The sequence below is a fragment of the Homo sapiens genome, chromosome X (assembly GCF_000001405.40).
Source record: "Homo sapiens chromosome X, GRCh38.p14 Primary Assembly".
NCBI lineage: Eukaryota > Metazoa > Chordata > Mammalia > Primates > Hominidae > Homo > Homo sapiens.
The window spans coordinates 147221368-147246834 of NC_000023.11; the positions used below are offsets into that span (position 1 = coordinate 147221368).

Consider the following 25467-nt stretch of genomic DNA (forward strand, 5'->3'; position numbering starts at 1 on the left):
TTGAACTAGTTTACAGTCCCACCAACAGTGTAAAAGTGTTCCTATTTCTCCACATCCTCTCCAGCACCTGTTGTTTCCTGACTTTTTAATGATTGCCATTCTAACTGGTGTGAGATGGTATCTCATTGTGGTTTTCATTTGCATTTCTCTGATGGCCAGTGATGGTGAGCATTTTTTCACGTGTTTTTGGCTGCATAAATGTCTTCTTTTGAGAAGTGTCTGTTCATGTCCTTTGCCCACTTTTTGATGGGGTTGTTTGTTTTTTTCTTGTAAATTTGTTTGAGTTCATTGTAGATTCTGGATATTAGCCCTTTGTCAGATGAGTAGGTTGCCTGTTCACTCTGATGGTAGTTTCTTTTGCTGTGCAGAAGCTCTTTAGTTTAATTAGATCCCATTTGTCAATTTTGGCTTTTGTTGCCATTGCTTTTGGTGTTTTAGACATGAAGTCCTTGCCCATGCCTATGTCCTGAATGGTATTGCCTAGGTTTTCTTCTAGGGTTTTTATGGTTTTAGGTCTAACGTTTAAATCTTTAATCCATCTTGAATTGATTTTTGTATAAGGTGTAAGGAAGGGATCCAGTTTCAGCTTTCTACATATGGCTAGCCAGTTTTCCCAGCACCATTTATTAAACAGGGAATCCTTTCCCCATTGCTTGTTTTTCTCAGGTTTGTCAAAGATCAGATAGTTGTAGATATGCGGCATATGCGGCATTATTTCTGAGGGCTCTGTTCTGTTCCATTGATCTAGATCTCTGTTTTGGTACCAGTACCATGCTGTTTTGGTTACTGTAGCCTTGTAGTATAGTTTGAAGTCAGGTAGTGTGAAGCCTCCAGCTTTGTTCTTTTGGCTTAGGATTGACTTGGCGATGCGGGCTCTTTTTTGGTTCCATATGAACTTTAAAGTAGTTTTTTCCAGTTCTGTGAAGAAAGTCATTGGTAGCTTTATGGGGATGGCATTGAATCTGTAAATTACCTTGGGCAGTATGGCCATTTTCACGATATTGATTCTTCCTACCCATGAGCATGGAATGTTCTTCCATTTGTTTGTATCCTCTTTTATTTCCTTGAGCAGTGGTTTGTAGTTCTCCTTGAAGAGGTCCTTCACATCCCTTGTAAGTTGGATTCCTAGGTATTTTATTCTCTTTGAAGCAATTGTGAATGGGAGTTCACTCATGATTTGGCTCTCTCTCTGTTTGTCTGTTGTTGGTGTATAAGAATGACAAACTATCTCTCGGACCACAGTGCAATCAAACTAGAACTCAGGATTAAGAATCTCACTCAAAGCCGCTCAACTACATGGAAACTGAACAACCTGCTCCTGGATGACTACTGGGTACATAACGAAATGAAGGCAGAAATAAAGATGTTCTTTGAAACCAACGAGAACAAAGACACAACATACCAGAATCTCTGGGACACATTCAAAGCAGTGTGTAGAGGGAAATTTATAGCACTAAATGCCCACAAGAGAAAGCAGGAAAGATCCAAAATTGACACCCTAACAACACAATTAAAAGAACTAGAAAAGCAAGAGCAAACACATTCAAAAGCTAGCAGAAGGCAAGAAATAACTAAAATCAGAGCAGAACTGAAGGAAATAGAGACACAAAAAACCCTTCAAAAAATCAATGAATCCAGGAGCTGGTTTTTTGAAAGGATCAGCAAAATTGATAGACCACTAGCAAGACTAATAAAGAAAAAAAGAGACAAGAATCAAATAGACACAATAAAAAAATGATAAAGGGGATATCACCACCCATCCCACAGAAATACAAACTACCATCAGAGAACACTACAAACGCCTCTACGCAAATAAACTAAACTAGAAAATCTAGAAGAAATGGACACATTCCTCGACACATACACTCTCCCGAGACTAAACCAGGAAGAAGTTGAATCTCTGAATAGACCACCAGGAAGAAGTTGAATCTCTGAATAGACCAATAACTAACAGGAGCTGAAATTGTGGCAATAATCAATAGTTTACCAACCAAAAAGAGTCCAGGACCAGATGGATTCACAACCGAATTCTACCAGAGGTACAAGGAGGAACTGGTACCATTCCTTCTGAAACTATTCCAATCAATAGAAAAAGAGGGAATCCTCCCTAACTCATTGTATGAGGCCAGCATCATTCTGATACCAAAGCCGGGCAGAGACACAACCAAAAAAGAGAATTTTAGACCAATATCCTTGATGATCATTGATGCAAAAATCCTCAATAAAATACTGGCAAAACGAATCCAGCAGAACATCAAAAAGCTTATCCACCATGATCGAGTGGGCTTCATCCCTGGGATGCAAGGCTGGTTCAATATACGCAAATCAATAAATGTAATCCAGCATATAAACGGAGCCAAAGACAAAAACCACATGATTATCTCAATAGATGCAGAAAAAGCCTTTGACAAAATTCAACAACCCTTCATGCTAAAAACTCTCAATAAATTAGGTATTGATGGGACGTATTTCAAAATAATAAGAGCTATCTATGACAAACCCACAGCCAATATCATACTGAATGGGCAAAAAGTGGAAGCATTCCCTTTGAAAACTGGCACAAGACAGGGATGCCCTCTCTCACCACTCCTATTCAAGATAGTGTTGGAAGTTCTGGCCAGGGCAACCAGGCAGGAGAAGGAAATAAAGGGTATTCAATTAGGAAAAGAGGAAGTCAAATTGTCCCTGTTTGCAGACGACATGACTGTATATCTAGAAAACCCCATTGTCTCAGCCCAAAATCTCCTTAAGCTGATAAGCAACTTCGGCAAAGTCTCAGGATACAAAATCAATGTACAAAAATCACAAGCATTCTTATACAAAAAAGTATTTCACTGAAAGAAAAACCATAAATACCAGTGAATATAGTACTCTTTTTGAGAAATCCTAAAAGAGATAGTACTCTTTTTGAGAAATCCTAAAAGAGATATAACTAAATTCTCTGTCTTTGTTTCATTTTACGATATCACTTATTTAAGTACACATGAATTCTCTCTAATACAGTTTTAGAAATTATATGCTAAAAAGAGTTATCACTTTGGAAATTTCTACACACATACAGTATTTCCAACGGACAGAATTTTTTTTTATTATTCAGAATGTCCCCCCGCCTCCAATGAAAAAAGTTCTATATATTCTATTAGTACAATTGTTTTAATATTGAAAAAGATACTTCAACTGATTTTTTTTACTTCCAGACATTAATGGTCTTATACATATTCATCCATTCTGAACCTAAAAAAACAAACATAAACTAAAATCCTGCCTGTAACCATATAGTAATTGTTTTTTTATAGTTTCTCTCTTTCGGTGTATATGCTGTAACCTCTATTTCCGTTGGAATCAAAATTGTATTAATCAATCACTTACTATTTATAACATTTTTAAACACATTTCCCCAATATAAGTAGCTTATTTATATATAACCTACTTCTAAAAAATGCATACTAGTTTCATGCTGCAGATGGCCTCACACCATCTGGCACTTGTCTTACTCTTGTGCACGTGCGTATTTGCCTCTTTCTCTCTCCATTAGGTTGAGTTAAGAAGTGTCAACACAAGAAAATGGGGCCGGGCATGGTGGTTCACGCCTGTAATCCCAGCAATTTGGGAGGGTGAGGTGGGTGGATCACGAGGTCAGCAGTTCGACACCAGTCTGACCAACGTGGTGAAACCTGGTCTCTACTAAAAATACAAAAATTAGCCAGGTGTGTTGGCGCACGCCTGTAATCCCAGCTACTTGGGAGGCTGAGGCAGAAGAATCGCTTGAACCCGGGAGACAGAGGTTGCAGTGAGCTGAGATGGCGCCACTGCACTCCAGCCTGTGTGAAAGAGTAAGAAAGACTCCATCTCAAAAAAAAAAAAGACAGAAAATGGGGAGAGAAGACTAGGAGATATCTCTTGAGTAACAACTCTATCATACGCTTCCATTGTTCAAACATAAAAAACAGGGAAAAAAGATAATGGAAAAGGGTGAAATATTCTTGGGTGGACTACGCTTAACCCTCCATAAATTGGTGACTGAAGGCTTTGAAAGGTATTTTAAAAGTCTATGAGAAAATGTTTTAGTCTTTGACAGAAAATGGACACTGTGGATCAGCAATGAAGGGACCTGAGAGGCAGGAGAGTCTTTTGGGAGCGCTAAAGGAGAATCCTTGCAAATGATGACTTCTTGATAAGTGAGAAAAGTTTAGGAATCTGGAATATAGCCTTCCAGCTGACGAAGAATGGCTGTGGCCTCTATCCAATGTATTTCTTATTTGAGCCAAGCCTCATTTGGCAAAAATAGATAAATTCTTAAGGAACCGAAGTGCATGCGTTTTCTCAGGAGTCCACAGTTCCTATGTATAGTCATTTAGAAGGCACAAAAAGTTCCCTGAAGTAGCCCAGCACTGAAGAGTGGGTGCACAGGATGCAAAACAGGCATCACCATGCTCGCAGCTACACCCCCATCCTCAGGGACACCACATATGCAGTGCATGCTGTACATTACCCTTCTCAGAAAGGTGAAATTTATATTTTAGTTCACATAAATGACACCTCCCTGTGAAAGGCACTGCACACTGAATGGCTGAATGTGGCATCCAAGAACAAATGCTCCCTATTCATGCCGTTTTTTTTCAAGTCCCTATAGGTGTATGCCTTGGCATGGCCACCAAGATTTATGCCAAGGGACAATGCAACTTGTAGCCCCCGGCGCTCCCCTTTTCATCCTGCCCCAAGTGAGATTTTAACATGCAGATTTTTGTTTTGTTTTTGTTTTTGTTTTCAGATGAAGTCTGGCTCTGTCGCCCAGACTGGCATGCATTGGTGTGATCTCGGCTCACTGCAACCTCCCCCTTCTGTGTCTAAGCACTTCTCCTGCCTCAGCCTCCCAAGTAGCTGGGATTAAAGGCACATACCACCGCGAATGGCTAATTAACACACAAATTTTAGGCTTAGCCAGAATATAACATTTCACTTCATCTCTTCCCCAGAGATGTGTAATCCTTGTCTGGATTATCCCATTAGTTTTCGCGTTAATTTGCTTGTCTCATTAAAAATCCTCAATATCAGGCCAGGTGCAGTGGGTCACACATATAATCTCATCACTCTGGTAGGCTGAGGCTGGTGGATCATCAGAGGTCAGGATTTTGAGACCAGCCTGGACAACGTGGTGAAATTCCATCTCTACTACAAATACAAAAAATTAGCCGGGTGTGGTGGTGGGCAACTGTAACCGCAGCTGCTGAGGCAGGAGAATCACTTGAACCCGGGAGGTGGAGGTTGCAGTGAGCCGAGATCATGCCACTGAATCACTTGAACCCGGGAGGTGGAGGTTGCAGTGAGCCGAGATCATGCCACTGCACCCCAGCCTGGGCAACAGAGTTAGTTAGACTCTTTCTCAAAAAAAAAAAACAAAAAAAAACTATATATATATATATGTGTGTGTGTGTGTGTGTGTGTGTGTGTGTGTGTGTGTGTGTGTGATGTACACAAATAATCATGAGCTGAGGCAAATTAAAAGACCTGGATTCTTCTAGCTCTGGCCCTTGATAGCATGTAGAAGTCAGACCACATGATCGTCAAGACCGAGTGTTTCTATGTACCATTCTCATTCATCTACTAAACATAACCCCTGAAAGACAGACAGAGAAGCACATAGCTCAGTGTTAGTGCTGAGTCACGGTCAAGGAGCCATAGTTCACTGAACAGAATGATTCTAAATATCTCAAGCATTTTACTGCATTTTTTGAATTCCATGAAAAGCAACCAAAGTTAGATTCTACAGAAATATTTATATATATCAATCAATCAATCAATCAATTTAGCTTTTCTCTTAAGTATTTGGGCCCTTGAGCTATCTCCCCAAAAAGTTCTCAAGGGGAAAAAAATACACAGACACAATACTCCCTCCTTCAAACACCAGTACAGGTACTACTTCTCTTCCTCTGCATCACCCACCCCTCAGTAGCTTCAAAGGAGTCTTTCCAGCAACCTGGCACATCATAGCAGGAGATTCTAAGACCCACTGCTCCATGAAACCACATACACAGACACATATACGCCCAAGTAAACAATATTAAAAAGAATGAGAATACAACAAAATATGAATACAAAAAAACTAACCATAAACAGAATTGATAAGCCATCGAAAGAACCCTAGCAATACACAATGCAAAGTTCCAACAACATATGTGCAAATTAATATGCAAATTAAAATATAACCGAAATCACACAGTGAAATCCAAATAACAACAAAAAGAAAATACAAAATTGCAAGCAATGTACGTAAAGAAATACCAATCAAAACACCAATGACCAAGAGCATGGCAAATCTGAAAACAAATTCAAACAAACACATATAATCCCAAAGGAGCCAAAGTCAAACAAACAAAGCAAAACCATACACATGAAATAAACTGATAAGAATAGCAAAAGCAAAACAAAAACAAAACAGAGATCCAACCTCAAACAAAAACAACATAACAAAATCCTCATGCTACATGCCCCGTGCACACACAAATGTATGGGCACATACACCAAAGTGCACACAGATACATGTATTACTCCCCCCATCACCATATAAACACAAACAAATGTGCTAGAACACATGCTAAAAACTCACAATCACCAACAAATATATCAGGGTATCTGAGCCTCAAAGCCCAAGGAAATCCTATGAGTGCAAGAAGGATGGAAATAGATACGATGAAGGGTAGCCACATGTAGTTGAATGGTAATACTATTAGGAAAGAAAGTAGAGTAGTTTTCTTCTATTTCATTGTAACCTACATTTCCCATCAAGTTCTTGAGTTGGGGAGGGGCATGTGGTTGTTTGGAGATGGGAAACAAACTCAAATTACACAACCCATATTTGCCAACACTTGACTATAATTTGATAGGGTTTACCTGAAAGGAGGCATCAAGCTCTCTCACATTTTTCAGCACAGAAGTGTAAAAGACTCACTGCTCCAGTCGTGTCTGTCTGTCTCTTTCAGTCTGGCTCTGCTTGATTGTCTTTCTCTTTCTCTTTCTCTTTCTCTCGTAACAGCCATAGTTTAAGAAGAGATATCTTGAAAACACGGAAAGAGAAAAGTCAATACAATATTTCCTAATTTTTTAAGAGGTCAGAGAAGGGAGTTACTGTGTGGCCTGGAGCAGGTGATTCTGACTACCAAGGGAAAATTGGAGTACTACTCCACAATGGAGGTAAGGAAGAATATTTCTGAAATACATAAGATGTCTCTTAGTATTACTATGCCTTGTGATTAAGGTCAGTAGAAAACTACAACAACCCAATCCTGGCAGGACTACTAATGGCCCAGACCCTTCAGAAATGAAAGTTTGGGTCACTCTACCAGGTAAAATATAATGGCTGAGGTGCTTGCTGAAGGCAAAGGGAATACAAAATGGGTAGTGAAGAAAAGTAGTTGTAAATACCAGCTAACACCAGATGACAGTTACAGAAATGAGAATTGTAGTTCCCATGAGTATTTTCTACTTATATTTTTATTAATATACTTCTGTGTTTTCTTGTCTCTCTTATCCCCTTATCATGTAACGTAAGGTGTACTGATATTATATCATAGTTATTAACCGTTGTTAACTTTAAATAATCATAGTATTGATGTTATGGAACACCAAGGAGAAGAGTAAACAAACAACACTCCAGGACTTTATCTCCTCTTCTGGTGAAGTGGTTCATGAATTCTGGGTTGTATAAATGGTAGTTGTATCTTATTAAATGAAATTATGACCTTGGTATTTTTCTCATTTGATGATTAAATATAATTTAAGGAGATGCGTATAAGTGACAACATGACAAGGAGTGAACTTGTGATGATTAATTCTATATTTCAACCTGACTGGGTCATGGAGTGCCCAGACATTTGGTCAGTCATTATTCTGGGTGTTTCTGTGAAGGTCTTTTTGGATGACATTAGCATTTAAATCAGTAGAATGAGTAAAGCAGACCACCCTCCCTAATGTGGATGGATGGGCCTGCACCAATCAGATGAAGGTTTAAATGGAACAAAAAGGCTGACTCTCCCCTAAGTTAGAGAGAATTCCTCCTGCCTGACTGCCTCCAAACTGGGGCATCTCATTTTTTTCTGGCATTGTACTCAAATTAAAACATTAGCTCTTCCTGGGTCTCAAACCTGCTGGCCTTTGGACTGGAACTACAAAATGGTTTGTTCTACTGCTTCTTTGGCCTCTGGACTTGGACTGCAACTATACCATCAGTTCTCCTGGGTCCCCAGCTTGCTGACCCATCCCCCTGCAGATCTAGGAACTCACCAGCCTCCATAGTTGCCTGAGGTTATTCCTTGCAGTATCCTTATAATAAATATCTTAAGGGATTTATTTTAAAAATAGACTTCTATAATAATTATATACATATATATTTGCTCAATCATTGTCCTGGGTGTTTCTTTGAAGGTCTTATAAGACCTGATCCAGAATCTGAGGGTGCCTGGGGTACCTGTGAAAAGTATGTCCTGTAGGTTTTTTAAGCATTTATTCCTTTTTCTCCACAAAAGGACTACAAAACACTGGGAACAAGATTTGAGGTAGGAACATGATCCTTTTTCTGCATCCTTTTCCTTTTTCTGTGAATGTCATATGTATGTGTGTGTGTGTGTGTGTGTGTGTGTATATATATATATATATATATATATATATATATATATAAAGGGATATATAAACCCCTTTGTATATGTAAAGTTTCCAGAAGTATATGTACACACATGTTCATACATATATGTTCTCATCACTTCATCCGTTCCCATAATAGTTAAGACCAGCTAAAAACATATAAATAGTTCAAATGAAAGCAAATTTGGGGTATCATATCAAACTCCACTGATATGAGATTATCATCACGGATACACAGGAATATTAAAGGGAATTTGAGTGTATCTAAGCCTTGAGGAGATCACTTCATAAGAAAGATGGTTCATGGAGTTTGGAGTTCAGCAGGGAAGGGCAGGAGGATATTTGTGCTCCCTAAAAAGAAGGCTTAAATATTGTGAGGAAAGAAGATCAGTGTAAACTTCTCAGGGGTTTATAAGGCAAGAAGTGTATTTGGGTTGTTATAGAGAGAAAAGACTAAGAGGTACAAGAGAAAAAGAAGTATCATGTTCCTACCTCAAATCTTGTTTCCAGTGTAGTCAGTCATTTTGTGGAGAAAAAGCAATAAATAATTGAAAAACCTACATGAGAGACTTTTCCCAGGCACCCTCAGATTCTGGAGCAGATCTCTCAAGAGGTACTTCAGAGAGTACCTGGAAATGGCTCATCACTAAAGGTTGGGTACCAAGGCTCAAGGGAGGGCAGTATTGTCACTGAAATTCCACTCGTCATTACCAATGCCACCACAAATGTTGTCCATGTTGCACATTACTCTACTCAGAAGGGTGCCTTACAAATATTAATCTATTAAGTAACACCTTCCTGAATAAGGCACTACACATAGTATGGCTGATGGTGGTGGCACTGACCATCTTAATAGTAACACGGGGAAACTACAGATGAGGCTATTCCCAGAGAACCTCATCCTCTAGGTTTTACCCCACAGAATTCTCTTTAAAGGGTTGTATGAGTTGACCCATCACTGAGTGGGTAGTTCTGACTTGTATCTGTTGTGCATTATTTCACTCCAAAAGGTGCAAAACATATTTCTAGACACATGCATGGCACTTCTTGAAGTGAAGCACTACACACAGCACAGCGGAAAATGTCCCTCACTCCGCCATTTCAGTCAGAATCCCAACACTCTCAGTCCACTAGGAATAAGCAGAATATAGTCAATAGATTAAAAAAAAAACAAACCCTTTTTCCTCTCCCTTTTGTCTCCTATGTCTTTCACTGAATGCTTATTAATTACTTCACCTGCTGCACATTTAATGAGACAGATTTTAGGAGAGAGAAAATTTTCCCTCTTCCTCCCAGACTTAGCATACTTCACTAAATTGTTCTGCTAATTTTCAATTTAATATAGTTGGCACATGAACAACTACTTCATATGCCTCAAAAGCCAGTCATTACATAGAAAGGACCACTCAAGTGACTCATCATATCTAGCGATTGCAGGCCAGATAGAGCTCAGTTGAAGCAGTGCTGGAGAGTTCTCTTCTTTCCAATTTGAATCTTCTTTATATCATTGGGGCCTTGGTTTGGCATCCTCTGTTCAGAGATGAAGGCCTACAGCAGCAGAAGCAGTAGTCACCACAGTCATGCACTTGCAAACCAGTGTTTAGACCAAGAAATATCTGCAACACATGTGAACACATGCATGCCACACATGCAAATAAACATGTGAACAATGAAACAAACAACCCCAAAACGAATGCTCACAAAATAGGGCAATGCAAACACAAAGACAAACACTGCATGATCTGACTCATACGCAGAGTCTAAGAAAGTTGATCTCATAGGAGTAGAGAGTAGAATGATGGTTACCAGAGTCTGGGGAAGGGAAGGGAAAGGGGGGTTGGGGAAAAATTGGTTTATGGGTACAGAGTCACAGTTAGGAGGGCTAAAAGTTCTGATGTGTTATTGTGCAGAAGAGTGATTGATTATAGTTAGTTAACAATATTTTATGGTATATTCCAAAATCACTAGAAGAGAGGGTTTTGAATGTTCTTCCCACAAAGAAGTGATGGACGTTTGAGGTAATGAAAATACTAAATCCCTGATTTGATTATTACACAATGCATGTATGTATCAAAACATCTCACTATATCTCATCAATATTTACAAATTATTATGTGTCAACTAAAAAAACAATAAAGGAGTAACAATTTTTTTTTTGAGACAGAGTTTTGCTTTTGTTGCCCAGGCTGGAGGGCAATGGCACAATCTCAGCTCACTGCAACCTCCGCCTCCTGGGTTCAAGCGATTCTCCTGCCTCAGCCTCCCACGTAGCTGGGATTACAGGCATGTGCCACCAGACCCAGCTAATTTTCTGTATTTTCTGTAGAAGCAGGGTTTCACCGTGTTGACCAGGCTGGTCTTGAACTCCTGGCCTCAGGAGATCCACTGGCCTCGGCCTCCCAAAGTGCTGGGATTACAGGCATGAGCCACCGTGCCCAGCCGGGAGTAACAATTTTTAAGAATGTAAAAATACTACTGAAAATTCTAATTAACACACATTTAAAAACACCATTCAAAATCGGAATAAAAAAAAACACACAAAATATACAAAACACATCCAAATATACAAAATTCTACAGGAAACAAAAACCCTAAAAAAGCAAACAAGCAATACAATAACAAAAATCAAAAAGAACATACACAATACAAAAACCCCCAAAACATAAAAACAAATACACTAAAATGTAACTTTACTTTCCAATAATCCCAAACAAAACAGAGAACGAAGTTCAAAGGAAATCTAGCACGTATCAGGGATAGACGACACTGCACTGAGAAATGCTGCGAGTGTAGGAAGGAGAGCAGTGGACACTGAGAAGTAAACAGATGAGGTATCATAATAAACAATGATAGAAAACAAAGTAGAACAGTTTCCCACCTCTTCACTACAGCCTGTATTTCCTCATGACTTTGGGTGAAGTGAGGTATTTGGCCACTGCAAAAACAAAATCCACACACATCATCAGTTGCCAACTAGACACCAAGAAAGACATGATTTGAAAGAGCTTTCCTGGGAGATAATGTAGCAGCAGACTATCAAATTCTATCCCATCCTCTGATATGGACATGTAACATTTACACCTTGCTTCCCAGGTCGTGCTTCCTGTGGGCTCCAGGAATTGGTTCTCCCTCCCCCTCTACTTTCTCCTCCCCCTCCCTCCCCTTCTCCTTCTCTCTCCCTCTTCCACCCTCTCCCTTCTCCCCTTTCTCCTCTTCCCCTCCCCTCTCTTTCTCCTTCTCTCCTTCTGCCTCTCCATACAGATATTTTTATATCAAGGTTCATAGCTACGTCTTTTCTAGTAGTCAAAGCCAAAATAGCTATAAACTGGAGACAAATGGCCATTAACAGGTGAATGCATTTAAAAAAAACTGGAATATCCATACAGTGGAATACTACTCATCCATAAAAACAAATAAATTATTGATGCAAATAACAATGTGGACGAATTTCAAAATAATTATGCCAGGAGAAATAAGCTAGGCCAAAATAAACAGTATATACAGTATGATTCCATTTTAATAAAAAATTTTGGCCAGGCACCGTGGTTCATGCCTGTAATTCCAGCGCTTTGGGAGGCTGAGGTGGGAGGTTCAGTTGAGGTCAGGAGTTTGAGACCAGCCTGGCCAACATGGTGAAATCTCGTCTCTACTAAGAATACAAAAATTAGCTCAGCATGGTGGTGTGCGCCTGTAGTCCCAGGTACTCGGGAGGCTGAGGTAGGAGAATTGCTTGAACCTGGGATGCAGAATTTACAGTGAGCCGAAATCACGCCACTACACTCCAGCCTGAGTGACAGAGAGAGACTCCATCTCAAAAAATAAAAAATAAGAATCTGGAAAATAAAATCTAATCCATAGTGAATAAAAGCAGATTAGTGGCTGCATGGCTCTGTGGTTATGTGCAGAAGACCGAAAATGAGGATCACAAAGAGGCAGGAGGAATCTTTCAGGGAGGATGTATAATATTCCCTATTTATTTTGATTTAGGGGATGATTTCATGGGTGTATAAACAGAATATGTCAAAGCGCAAACTTTATGTCAGTCATGTATCAACGACGCTTTTTAAGAACTAAAGCTATCACAATACAAAAATCTCAAAATAACAAACACATGCTCATACACACAATTCAAAAAAACCATATAAGCTAAAAAAAAAAAATCAATCAACAAATAATGCAAATTATCCCTAACAAAAGAAAGAAATTTTAGCCTTATGTACCAAAACTTCTATAAATGATTTTTTAAAAAGTAATGAATCAGAAAAACAGGGCACAAATAAATAAAAACTAAAAAGTAAACCAATAATATATTTTTAAACCCCTATCAACAATCATCCCAAATTAGAAAAGCTCAACAAACAGGATTAAAATAAATAAATAAATCAACTACAACAAATTCCAAACAGAATCAATACATGAACTTATCAATTAGAAAGCATGTTGCAAATACCAAACCATGTAAGCATACACACAGATACTGAGGCAAAACATTTAAAATCCAAGCAAACTCCCACAACTTAAAAAAAAAAACACATCCCCAATAAAGCGCACATATATATGAAAGACAAAACTTTCTGAGCCCCACACAATTAAAGGGGAAAAAATAACTACAGCAACAAAACAAAATTCATACAAATTTAAATATCCCAAAACACAAGGAAAATGAAGAACCCCCCCCCCCCACACACACACACAAAATAAAACAATAAACACAAACTGAAACTAAAAATACATGGAAAATAACAAAATACTTTAAAGAAGTCAACATCATTCAAAAATAATCACAGAAATGCACGCATACACACCCACATCCATCCACCCACCCACCCACTCACATATACACACAAAAAGTCAGCTGAAAAGCAAATAGAAATACACTAGAGAATAAAACAAAGAAAGATATAGCAAAACAGCAGGAAAGAAACAAACATGTCTAAATACACAAAGGAAACTACAACTAAAACAACTCCCAAGCACCTCTCAGTACAAATCAAACCAAACGCATAAATTAAAACCAAATCAAAACCAAAGAAGAAAACTCAGATTGGAACCAACAACTAATAATTAAATCATGACAGCCCCCTCCCCCCGAAACAGGAATAAAACATTTGCTGAAACACAAACCACAATTCTAACTTAAAAAAAAAAAAAAACTTCAAGTATGCAACGAAACAACAAGCAGAGGTGCCATGAACACTGAATTGCAAACAATAAAAAATCACACTGTACCCCCAAAATATGTACAATGATTATGTGTCAGTTAAAAATAATAATACAAGCAAACAAAATAAACAAATAAACCTAAAAAGGAAGAACCAACTTTGAAAAATAAATGCACAGAGACTGGAAATGAAAGGACAATTATAAACAAAATAATATCACAAAAAACAAAAACAAAACCAAAATCAGACAGTTACCAATGTCTGGATAAACAATATTACTAAGCAAAAACAATTTGAAAAGTCCCCCCAAACCCAACCACAATATGCACATGAACGAATCAACTAACTAAATTAACTCATTTGTAAAAACCAACACACACATACTCACACACAAACTCACACCTTCTCAAAAATAAGCACAAATTTGAGAACAATTTGCAGTGGTGCCACTGTCACTGCCCCAGACACACATCTAGGGTGGTGAGACTTTCTGCCCAGGAAAACTCTTAGAGCTCATGAAATAGGGAAGAAGATACCATGAGCAGTAGACACTGGTTGTACACAGGCGATAATGTAGTAGTATTAGTGATATAAGAGAAGAATACCCTTCCTCTTGATTACAATCTAAATTTTTGCCAAGATTTGGAACGGAGTGAGACATGTCACTGACTCGAGATGACAACAAAATTCCATAAACTTCAACTTGCCCACTTAAGGTGCTTTATGAGAATTAATCCGGAAGGGGTCACCAGGATGATTACCCTCCAACCCCACTCCACCTCCATTTTTCCAGCACCGTAGTGTGTACAACCTGCTTCCTAGTCACTGCTCCAGTCTGAAGATGTTCTCCAGGGATCCGGCGCTGGCCATCTTTTGTCTGTGATTCTCAAGTTTTCTTTCTGAAGACCTTAGGTTAAGAAGGAGCAACTGAAGGGAAGTGGAAGGGAAAAGACAAATATATATGTTATCATTCTCAATAATCTGAGATGAATACCTTCACTTCTTTTTATTCCTTCATATAATTTTAAAAATAAAATGTTAAATATAATTCAAAGAAAACTAACAAAACAAATATTCTAGGCAACTTCTTAACCTTTTATAGATATGTTGAATTTAGAAAGGACTGATATACACATATTTTCAATAAATATTTTTTAAAATATACATATAAATATTTTTTAAAAATATATACATAAATATTTTATATATATATATATTTTTTTTTTAACCAACAGATAGATAATTTTGGAAATAATGTATTTTTCCAAGTAAGGAAGAACACACAAACTCTTAAGGAAAGGCTTGTCTTCAATCCTGAAAGAGCAAGAGCTTTTTGGTGCAGAGGGATGCTTCTGAGGCAGGAGGGAATTTGAAGAGCCCACTGGGAAATGAAAAGGCTTGGAAGCTAAAAGAAATGTTGTGAGGAAAAATACGTTGGAGGTTTTTCAAGGCAAAATGAATAGTTGGGCTCTGTAGCAGTAGAAGCTCTGAATATAAAAAGAGGAAAAGCCACATCCTCACTACAAATTTTCTTACCTGTGTGGGCATGCCTCCTTTGGACAAGGGTATATAAATCCCCGGAAAGCCTACATGGGTGATTTTTCCTGGGAGCCCTCAGTCCCTAGGATTTGCCTTTCAAGACCTGCCTATGGGAGTCCATTGAGTTAGCCCAGCAAGGGGAGGGTGGTGCTTGGACACAAGGGAGGGCAGCTCTGTGCATGCGGCTGTATACACTCACACCCATGGCCACCAAATATGCGTTACGTGATGTGTATTACTCTACTCCAAAAGGCTACAATCATGTTTTAGTTTACATGAGTGACGCCCTCTGGAGTAGGGCACTACACTCAGCTGAAGGTGGTGGCTCTACCCAAATATATACGTGAAGTTTAGATACGATGAAGAATTTCTAGTATGTTTGCCACTCCATTCCCATTCTCTAACCATCCTTTAGTGAGGATACTCTTACTTGCTGCATATTTCATGTGCTGATTTTGAGGACTTCTTCTCTTCAGTCGGCAACAAATAATCTCACCAACATTTTCCTATGTATTTTCAAGTCATTAGGAATGGCATATTAAAAATGATTTGTGTTCCACCAGTGTTAAAGGTCTCCCCACCCTCTGTGCCCCCAAATTCCTAGTCCCTTGGTTCAGAGTTATTTAACTTTTAACACCAAAACAACAGAGAGAACAAGGTAAACATGCAGAGAATTCAAGCAAAAGAGATAGATCATTTAGGCAGTGCCAGGATTCATAGGACAAAAATCTCATTTTCTCCACCATTCCTGGGGATTATACAGATCATTTACCTTGCCTGGAATCATTTCCAAGAGAGCAATTGGCTTAGAACCTAGTTATATCTTATTCTTCCTTCTCAGCCCTGGACTTTCTCAACATTTCCTAGAGTTCTTGTCAAGAGGGTCTCTTTCAAAATTTTCATTTGGAGACACAGGCCTCCCAGGAATCTATTTTTTCCTTTCAATACTGAGGCTGAAGAAAGGGGGAAGCAAGTAGGAGTAAGAGATCCACAGACCCCAAACTAGTTATATTTTAAGAGCTAGGGAGCCAAGTTAAACAAAAGACTGTAAAGAGAGAGGGAGGTGCACTGAATAAATTAAAGGATTAGCTAAATTACTTGCCATGGAGCAAGAGAAAGGGAGATTATGGTGTGGGACATTTAATCTGGACATGTCCAGGTCTCCCAGCATTCAGGAACCTCCACCAGTGTCAGTAGTCCAAAATGACCCAAGTCTACAGCTACACACCAATAAATCAAAACTCAAACAAAAATATTTCTAAAATCAATTCTACCTCATAAATAAGTGAAACAATGCTCAATATCACTAATTAGGGAAATGCAACCAAAACCACAATGTGATACGACTTCACACCCATTAGAATCAATATTATCAACAAGCAAACAAACAGAAAATAACAAGTGTTGACAAGTGAAGAAATTATAACCCCGTGCATTGCTGGTAGGAAAGTAAAATGGCACAGTCACCACAGAAAACACTATGGTGGTTCTTCAAAAAATTAAAGATATAATTACCATATTTCAGCAATTGCAGTATTGGGTATATACCCAAAAGAACTGAAATCAGTATTTCAAAGGGACATAGTGCCCCCATGTTCAAAGCAGCATTATTTATAATAGACAAAAGGTAGAAGCAATACAAGTGTTCATCAACAGATAAAGTGATATGCAAACTGTGGTATATGCATACAAGGAAATGTTATTTGCCCTACAAAAGGAAATAATTTTCTTTTTAAACTGGGTTTCCTTATGTTGTTCAGGCTAGAATCTAACTCTTGGACTCAAGCGATCTTCCTGCCTCAGCCTCTTGAGTAGCTGGGACTACAGTCATGTGCATACATGTCCAGCTTAGAAATAAAATTCTGACACATGCTATAACATGGATTAACCTTGAAGACAATATGCTGGGTAAAATAAAGCAGTCACAAAGGAATACTACTGTATGATTTTATTCTATTCAGTCCCTGGAATAGGCAAACTAGGAGAGACAGAAAGTAGAATAGAGGTTACCAAGAGCTGGGAATGGGGAGTCAGTGTTTAATGGTTACAGAGGTTTAGTTTGGGATAATGAATCATTTCTGGAGATGGATTGTGGTGATCATTGCACACCACTGTGGATTTACTTAATTCCACTGAATTTTACACTTAAAATGATTAAAATGGTAAATTTTATGTTTATATACATTTTACAATTAAAAAAAAATTAACCTCCAAATAATTCCAAATACCTCTGAAAATATAAGAACCCACCCCCAAAACAGATACCAAAACTAAAACAATCAGTAATAAAGCAAAAAAATACGGCCACGAAGCAAAATAAAACCACTCTAAGTAGATACATGTTGTACAGTGTTAGCAACACTAGTAGATAAAATAGAAGATACTTCCTCTTCTTGATATTAACCTAAATTCCCATTTAAGGTGGGCAACAAATTTCCTTTAAAAGAAGTTATGAAGTAAACCGCCTGGTGTGGATTAAAAGAAGAGATGCATCAGAAAGCCCCATTTCCTAACACAGGAAGGTAAAATATATAACCCGATTCCCAGACAAGGTTCCTATCTTGCTTATGGTCACCAGGCCTCTGAGACTTAAAGCTTACAGCTCTCTTTTGTGCTCTTTGTACTCTCTCACTCTCTCTCTCTCTCTCTCTCTCTCTCTCTCTCTCTCTCTCTCTCTCCCTCTCTCTCTCTCTCTTCTCCTTTCTGTCCCATCCACGAGGTTAAGTGGAGACATCAAACAGAAAATGTGATACAAAAACTCACTTAGCACTTCATCATTATAAGACTCTCTAAGGACTGATCCCACCTTGACATTATTCTTTTCACATATAAACCTGAGGGAAAAAGTAACAAAAGTACAAGTGTCAGAAAAGAATAACCGTTTTGGGAAAATTGAATTATTTGGTAATATCATATAAGATCCAAAGTATATCCAAAGGAACTGAACACTCGTAGGTCTATGAAGAAAGAAGTGGCTTCAACCCAGAGATTCAATAGAATTTTTAAAACAACAACTTTATTGCAGTATCACTGATAGATTGAAAACTGTATATATTTAATATATACAGTTGATAAGTTTGGACACACCAATGAAACCATCACTACAATCAAGGTAATAGATAGATACATTCATCATCTCCAAAAGTTTCCTTCTGACCCTTTGATTTTGATTTTGTTTTTCTGTGGTAAGAATGTAACATGAGATCTACACCTTAACATAATTTTAAGAACACAATACAATATAATTAATTATAGGTCCTGTGTTATACAGCAGATTTCTATAACTTTTTTTATCTTGCATAAGCAAAACTCTATATCCACTGAAAAACAATTACTCATTTCCCTCTTCTCCCAGTGTCTGGCAACCACCATTCTATTCTCTATTTCTATGTGCTTGACTGTTTCAGATGCCTCATATAAGTGGAATCATACAGTACTTGTCCATCTGTGACTGGCTTAATAAGTTGATTCAAAAATGGACAAGGTACGTGAATAGAAATTTCTCCAAAAAAGACACACAAATGTCCAACAGGTATATGAAAACAAACATACTCAGTATTAGGAATCATTAGGGAATGCAAATCAAAACCATAATGACGAATCATACTGCACCTGTTAAAATGGCTGTAATTCAAAAAAGATAAATGTTGGTGGGTGTGGAGAAAAAGTAATCCTTGTTGTGTTAGTCCATTTTCATACTGCTATAAAGAACTGCCCGAACTAGGTAATGTATAAAAGAAAGAGGTTTAATTGACTAACAGGTCCGCATGGCTGGGGAGGCTGTTTCCACTTTGCCTTCCACAATTATGGTGGAAGGGGAAGGGGAAGCAAGGCACGTTCTTCACAAGACGGCAAGAAGGAGAATGAATGCACGAGGAACTACCAAACACTTATAACACCAGCAGATCTCGTGAGAACTATCATGAGAACAGCATGGGGGAAACCACCCCCATGATTAAATTACCCCTTCCTGGTCTCTCCCTTGACTGACATAGTGGGATTATGGGGATTATAATTCAAGATGATATTTGGGTGGGGACACAAAGCCTAACCATATCCCTTGTACACTGTTGGTGGTAATGTAAATTAGTATAGTCATTTTTAAAAACACTATGGAAGTTCTTCAAAAAATTAAAAACAGCACAACTATACCAACCAACCAACAATCCGGCTCCTAGGTATATATCCAAAATAATTAAAATCAGAATCTTGAAGAGATGTTTGCATTCTTATATTTATTACAGCATCATTAACAATAGGCAAAATATAAAAGCAACCCAAATTTCCATCAACAACAGATGAGCAGATAAAGAAAATGTGGTACATACATACAAATTAAATATTATTCAGCCTTAGTAAACAAGTCAGTTCTACCATTTGCAACTACATGAATGAATCCAGAGGATATTAGGCTACATGAAATAATTCAGAGTTTTGGTGTACATATGGAGGAAGCTGAGCAGCTGGAGAAAATTTAGAAAGAAAGGAAAGTTTTGAAAAGAGTGAAAGGAACTGTCAGGTGACCAATGGTTAAGAGTTTGGGGGGAAAGAGAAAATTGGGTTCTACAGAGAAGACAAACAGTGATAAAACAAACAGGGGAGCTATGTTCTCCTAGCAAGTCTTTTTTTCTTTTTCTTTTTCTTTTTTAAGGGACAGGGTCTTGCTCTGTCACCCAGGATGGAGTGAGTGGCATGATCATAGCTCACTGCAGACTCAAACTCCTCGGCTCAAGCGATCCTCTCATCTTAGCCTACCAAGTAGCTGGGACTACAGACATGTCTGCCATGACTGGCTAATTTTTATTTATTTATTTTTTTTTTTTTCTGTAGAGGTGGGGTATCACTATGTTGCCCACGCTGGTCACAAACTCCTGGCCTCAAGTGATCCTCTAGCCTCAGCTTCCCAAAGCACTGGGCTTACAGGCATGACCCATCATGACTGGCCCTCTTAACAAGTTTTTTTTTTTTTTTTGAGACGGAGTTTCACTCCTGTCACCCAGGCTGGAGTGCAGTGGCGTGATCTCAGCTCACTGCAACCTCAACCTCCTGGGTTCAAGCGATCCTCCCACCTCAGCCTCCCAAGTAGCTGGGATTACAGGAGCCCACCACTACGCCCAGCTAATGTCTGTATTTTTAGTAGAGACAGGGTTTCACCATGTTGGCCAGGCTGGTCTCGAACTCCTGACCTCAGGTGATCCACCCACCTTGGCCTCCCAAAGTACTGGGATTATAGGCGTGGGCCACCGCACCTCGCCTTAACAAGTCTTATTTCTATTTGGTCAGGCCATTTTTGAAGAAAGAAATGTAAATCACCAAATCACCTACTTTGGAGGCTTCAACTATGGGATCTTAGTCTTGATGTTTTGCATCTTAGAAGGCACTTAAGAAAGTTTTTTGAGATAGACCGACCAGTATTGAAGTGGAGGAAGGGTGCCTAGGCTCCAAAGAAAGCAGCTCTCCGCATGCTAATAAACACCACCCAGTCTCAGTGCTACCATCCATGTGTATTTGTTGTGCATTTACAGCCAAAATGGGGTTATAGGAAACTAATTATCCTCAGACCTGAACCAATTAAAAAACTGACAAAATATAGGGAACAACAGTTTATAAGACTTTACCAGAAATCAGGCAGTGAAGGACAGTAATTCCTGAGAGATGGAAAATAAACTGTAAATATTATTTGTACATATTAGCAATGAACAATTGTAATAATTTTTAAATAATACCATTTAATCTAGAACAAAAATTACATAGTTAGCTGTAAATAAGTGGAGAAATATACTGTGCTTATGGATTGGAAGAAACAGTGTTGTAATATATCAAATCTTCCCATGGGGATCCAGAGATTCAGCACAATGTTAATCAAATTCTAACTAGAAATGTTTGTAAATATCAACAACTTTATTCGAAAATTTATATTTTTATTATGTAAGTTTAAGGTATAATTAAAATGTTTTGGTATAGATATATATAAAGTAAAATGATTACCACATGCAAACAATTTATAATATCTCACACAGTTGGCTTTTTGTGGCAAGAACACCCTAAAATGTTTATGGAAAGACAAAAAAATAAGAATAGCCTAATCAATTTAAGAAATAGGTACAAGGCCGGGCGCGGTGGCTCACGCCTGTAATCCCAGCACTTTGGGAGGCCGAGGCGGGCAGATCACAAGGTTAGGAGATCGAGACCATCCTGGCTAACACAGTAAAACCCCATCTCTACTAAAAATATAAAAAATTAATTAGCCGGGCGTAGTGGTGGGCGCCTGCAGTCCCAGTTCCTCGGGAGGCTGAGGCAGGAGAATGGCGTGAACCCGGGAGGCGGACCTTGCAGTGAGCCGAGATTGCGCCACTGCACTCCAGCAGCCTGGGCGAGAGTGCGAGACTCCATCTCAAAAAAAAAATAGGGACAAAGATGGACTAATATTTTGATTCAAGACTTAGCTATAGTAATCAAGACAATGTGGTATTGGCAAAAGGAGAGAGAGAAAGAGATTAATGGAACAGAATAAGGAGTCCAGATATAGACCCACAAAAATACAGTGAAAATGTTGGTTGTGGATTAGCTAGAGATATCACATATTTCCAGAGTGTGAAATAGTACAGCCACTTTGAATGTCTGACAGCTTCTAATAAAATTCAACATACATCTATGTAAGGCACAGCAATCCCACTCCCAGGTATTTATTTACCATAGAGAAATAAAAATGTGTGTTCACACACAAAAAAAACTCAATGTACTCAAATGTTAATAACAGTTAAATTTTTGATTGCTACACATTGGAAGCAATGCAAGTATCCTTCACCTGGTGAATAGATAAACAACACTTGTGATACATCCATATAATGGAATACTATATAGTAATAACAAGAAGCCCACAGAACTTCATGAATATCAAGTACATTATGCTATGTGAAAGCCAAATATAAAAAGACTACATTCTATATGATTTCACTTGTCTGAAGTTATTGGAAAGAAAACTATATGGGTAGAATGCAGATCAGTGGTTTCTAAGGTCTAAAGGTGAGGGAAGGCAATTGAATGCAAATGGACGTAAAGGAATTTGGGGGGGTGGCAGAAATATTGAAGTGTCAGCTACATTATTAAATATGTTTGTAAAAGCTCATTAAATCGTACAAATAATTATGATGAACTTTGCCGTATGTAAGTTGTACTTCCAAAAGCTGATTTTAAAAAAACTCTTCACAGGAAAATAATGGCAAAAACATGCAAAAATATTACTCTGCTTCAACCATCCCAAGCCCAAATGTCCTTCCTTCTTCTTTTTCTCCATCCTCTCTTTTAGTAACCTCAAAGTACTCATTTTAACAGTTTTATAGATTTCCAGAATATCTGAGACTCACTGCTGAGCAAAACCCTAAAGAAAATACTCACAAACAAGCAAACAACAAGTAAAATCAACAATAAAAAGAATAAAAGCAAACTCAAGCAAAAGAATCCCCAAAACATATAAAGAAAATTTAAAAAATACGAAAACAAATGACTCAGAGAATCTCTCTCTCTCTCTCTCTCACACACACACACACACACACACACACACACACAGAGTAAACCCAAACAATTATAACTACAACAAGAAAAAAAATACTGAAAATTCTAAACAATATAAAACCCTACATCAGTGAAAACAAAATAGCAAACCAACAAAAGCTGAACACACAAAATAAAGTGAGACAAGTGGCTGGGAATAAACAGGAAAAGTGACAAACATCAGTTGCCAACTCAATGCTCTTTTGTGATTTAAAGGCTGGGTACGTCTGGATATACCTAATTTCCCAGTATGAGAACACACAATACACAAAGTACTTCCCACTAACTTCTTCAATCCTGCAATGGTGTCCAGGACAGCGAAATGTTTGCTGTCTGTTATCTGTGTTTTTCTCTCTTTGCTAGTCTCTTAGGGGAAGCTGAATTAAGATAGGATTCCTTAAGAAGAGAAATAAAAGTCTATGAAATATTTATTCAGTTCCAAAAGTCTGAGAAGTAAAACCTCTCATCACTTCAACAAATTATGTTTGACACAAAATGTACTCAAAAAAAGTTAACACAATAGAGAACTCAGAAATAACTCAGCACACCTACAACTATCTGATCTTCGACAAACCTGACAAAAACAGCAATGGGGAAAGGATTCCCTATTTAGTAAATGGTGCTGGGAGAACTGGCTAGCCATATGCAGAAAACTAAAACTGGACCCCTACCTTACACCATATACAGAAATTAACTCAAGATAGTTTAAAGACTTAAATGTAAAACCCAAAACTATAAAAACCTTAGAAGAAATTCTAGGCAATACCATTTGGGACATAGGTACAGGCAAAGATTTCATGATGAAGATGCCAGAAGCAATTGCAACAAAAGCAAAAATTAACAAATGGGATCTAATTAAACTAAAGAGCTTTGGCAAAGCAAAAGGAACTATCACCAGGTGAACAGACAGCCTACAGAATGGAAGAAACTTTCTGCAATCTATACATCTGACAAAGATCTAATATCCAGAGTCTACAAGGAACTTAAACAAATTCACAAGAAAAAACCAAACAGCCCCATTAAGAAGTGACCAAAGGACATGAACAGACACTTCTCAAAAGAGGACATACATGTGGCCAACAGACATACGAAAAAAAGCTCAACATCACCCATCATTCAAAAAATGCGTATCAAAACCACAATGAGATATCATTTCACACCAGTCATAATGGCTATTACTAAAAAGTCCAAAAATAACAGATGCTGGCAAGGTTGCAGAGAAAAAGGAATGCTTCTACACTGTTGGTGGGAGTGTAAATTAGTTCAACCATCGTGGAAGACAGTGTGGTGATTCCTCAAAGATCCAGAGGCAGAAATACCATTTGACCCAGCAATCCCAATACTGGGTATATACCCAGAGGAATATATTCATATAAATCATTCTGTTATAAAGACACATGCACTCGTATGTTCACTGCAGCACTATTCACAATAGCAAAGACATAGAATCAACCTAAATGCCTATCAATGATAGACTGAATAAAGAAAATATGGTACATATACACCATGGAATACTATGCAGTCATAAAAAGGAATGAGATCATGTCCTTTTCAGGGACATGGATGGAGCTGGAAGCCGTTATCCTCAGCAAACTAACACAGTGAAAGAAAACCAAACAAAAAAAAAAATGAATCCTGAAACACCTAGAGGGATTAGAGGGGCCCTCAAATCCTAGGTCTGGACTCTCCAGAGGCACTTAAGAGTCTTCTGCAAGGATAGCAATTTGGCCAAAATGAGTACATCTATGTGTAGACGACAGCCACACCACCTCCCCACAGGGCCACCACATGTAGTTGTACATGTTGCGAATTAAAGTGACTATCATATTTTAGTACACCTGATAGCACCTTTTGGAGTGCAGTACTGCACAAAGCAGGATTAAATGTAGCAGCCCTGCCCAAATGCTCCCCAATCATATTACTTTCATACAGTTGCTTTATGCTTCCAGCACATATGTAGCCCTTCAGATTATATAAAAGACCTATGAAACATACACCCCTGTTACCCTCACTCTGTCATCCCTCCCTGCATTAGTATCTCCTCACCTGCTGCATGCATGATTTGCAGATTTTCCGGTTGAGAGAGAATAATTATTTTTTCTTCTCTCACTCAGGTTAGGTATATTCTCATCTGTGTTAATCTGTTGAATTTCATTAGAAGTGATATTTATGTATTATTTACTTTCCTCCAAAGTTGAAAGGATTCATCAACATACCTACATCATCCTTCTCTATTCCAAACTTCCACCTGAAATTTCCACAACCTTTTGTGAAAGGCAGAGTTCTAAGATAGTCCTGAAGATGAGCCCCATGCACATGCCCTGTATAATCTCCCCTTTAGGGAGAGCAGGAGCTTTGACTTTCACAGAATTTCACTCCCATGATTATGTTATGCTGTACAGCCAATGGAAAGTTACAGATGTAATTAAGGTCACTGGTCTTCTGAATTAGATTTAATCAAAGACAGAGTAGAGTATCTTGAGTGGCCCTGACCTAATCACATAAGCTGTTTAAAAGAGGATATAGAGACCAGCAATAAGAAAAAGCAGCCTTGAAGAATCAAATTGCCATATTG

The 25467-nt window shown here is 38.2% G+C and overlaps 1 long non-coding RNA gene and 4 other non-coding genes across 10 annotated transcripts in view; 1 reads left to right on the plus strand and 4 right to left on the minus strand.

The window, feature by feature from the left end:
- Positions 1-25467, plus strand: part of LOC105373347 (periphilin-1) — a 90847-nt gene that overhangs the window by 40319 nt on the left and 25061 nt on the right. Inside the window, exon 3 of one of the 6 annotated variants that reach the window (XR_938514.3) lies at positions 7034-7191. The exons of the other annotated variants lie outside the window; for them this stretch is intronic. This is a non-coding gene — a long non-coding RNA (periphilin-1). The remainder of the gene's footprint in view (positions 1-7033; positions 7192-25467) is intronic. 6 annotated transcript variants of the gene reach the window in all.
- On the minus strand, positions 4459-4585 carry MIR513A2 (microRNA 513a-2). The gene has a single exon (NR_030232.1). It is a non-coding gene; the product is annotated as a microRNA 513a-2 (primary transcript).
- MIR506 (microRNA 506) lies at positions 9353-9476 on the minus strand. Its single transcript, NR_030233.1, has one exon. It is a non-coding gene; the product is annotated as a microRNA 506 (primary transcript).
- Positions 9617-9710, minus strand: MIR507 (microRNA 507). Its single transcript, NR_030234.1, has one exon. It is a non-coding gene; the product is annotated as a microRNA 507 (primary transcript).
- MIR508 (microRNA 508) lies at positions 15546-15660 on the minus strand. Its single transcript, NR_030235.1, has one exon. It is a non-coding gene; the product is annotated as a microRNA 508 (primary transcript).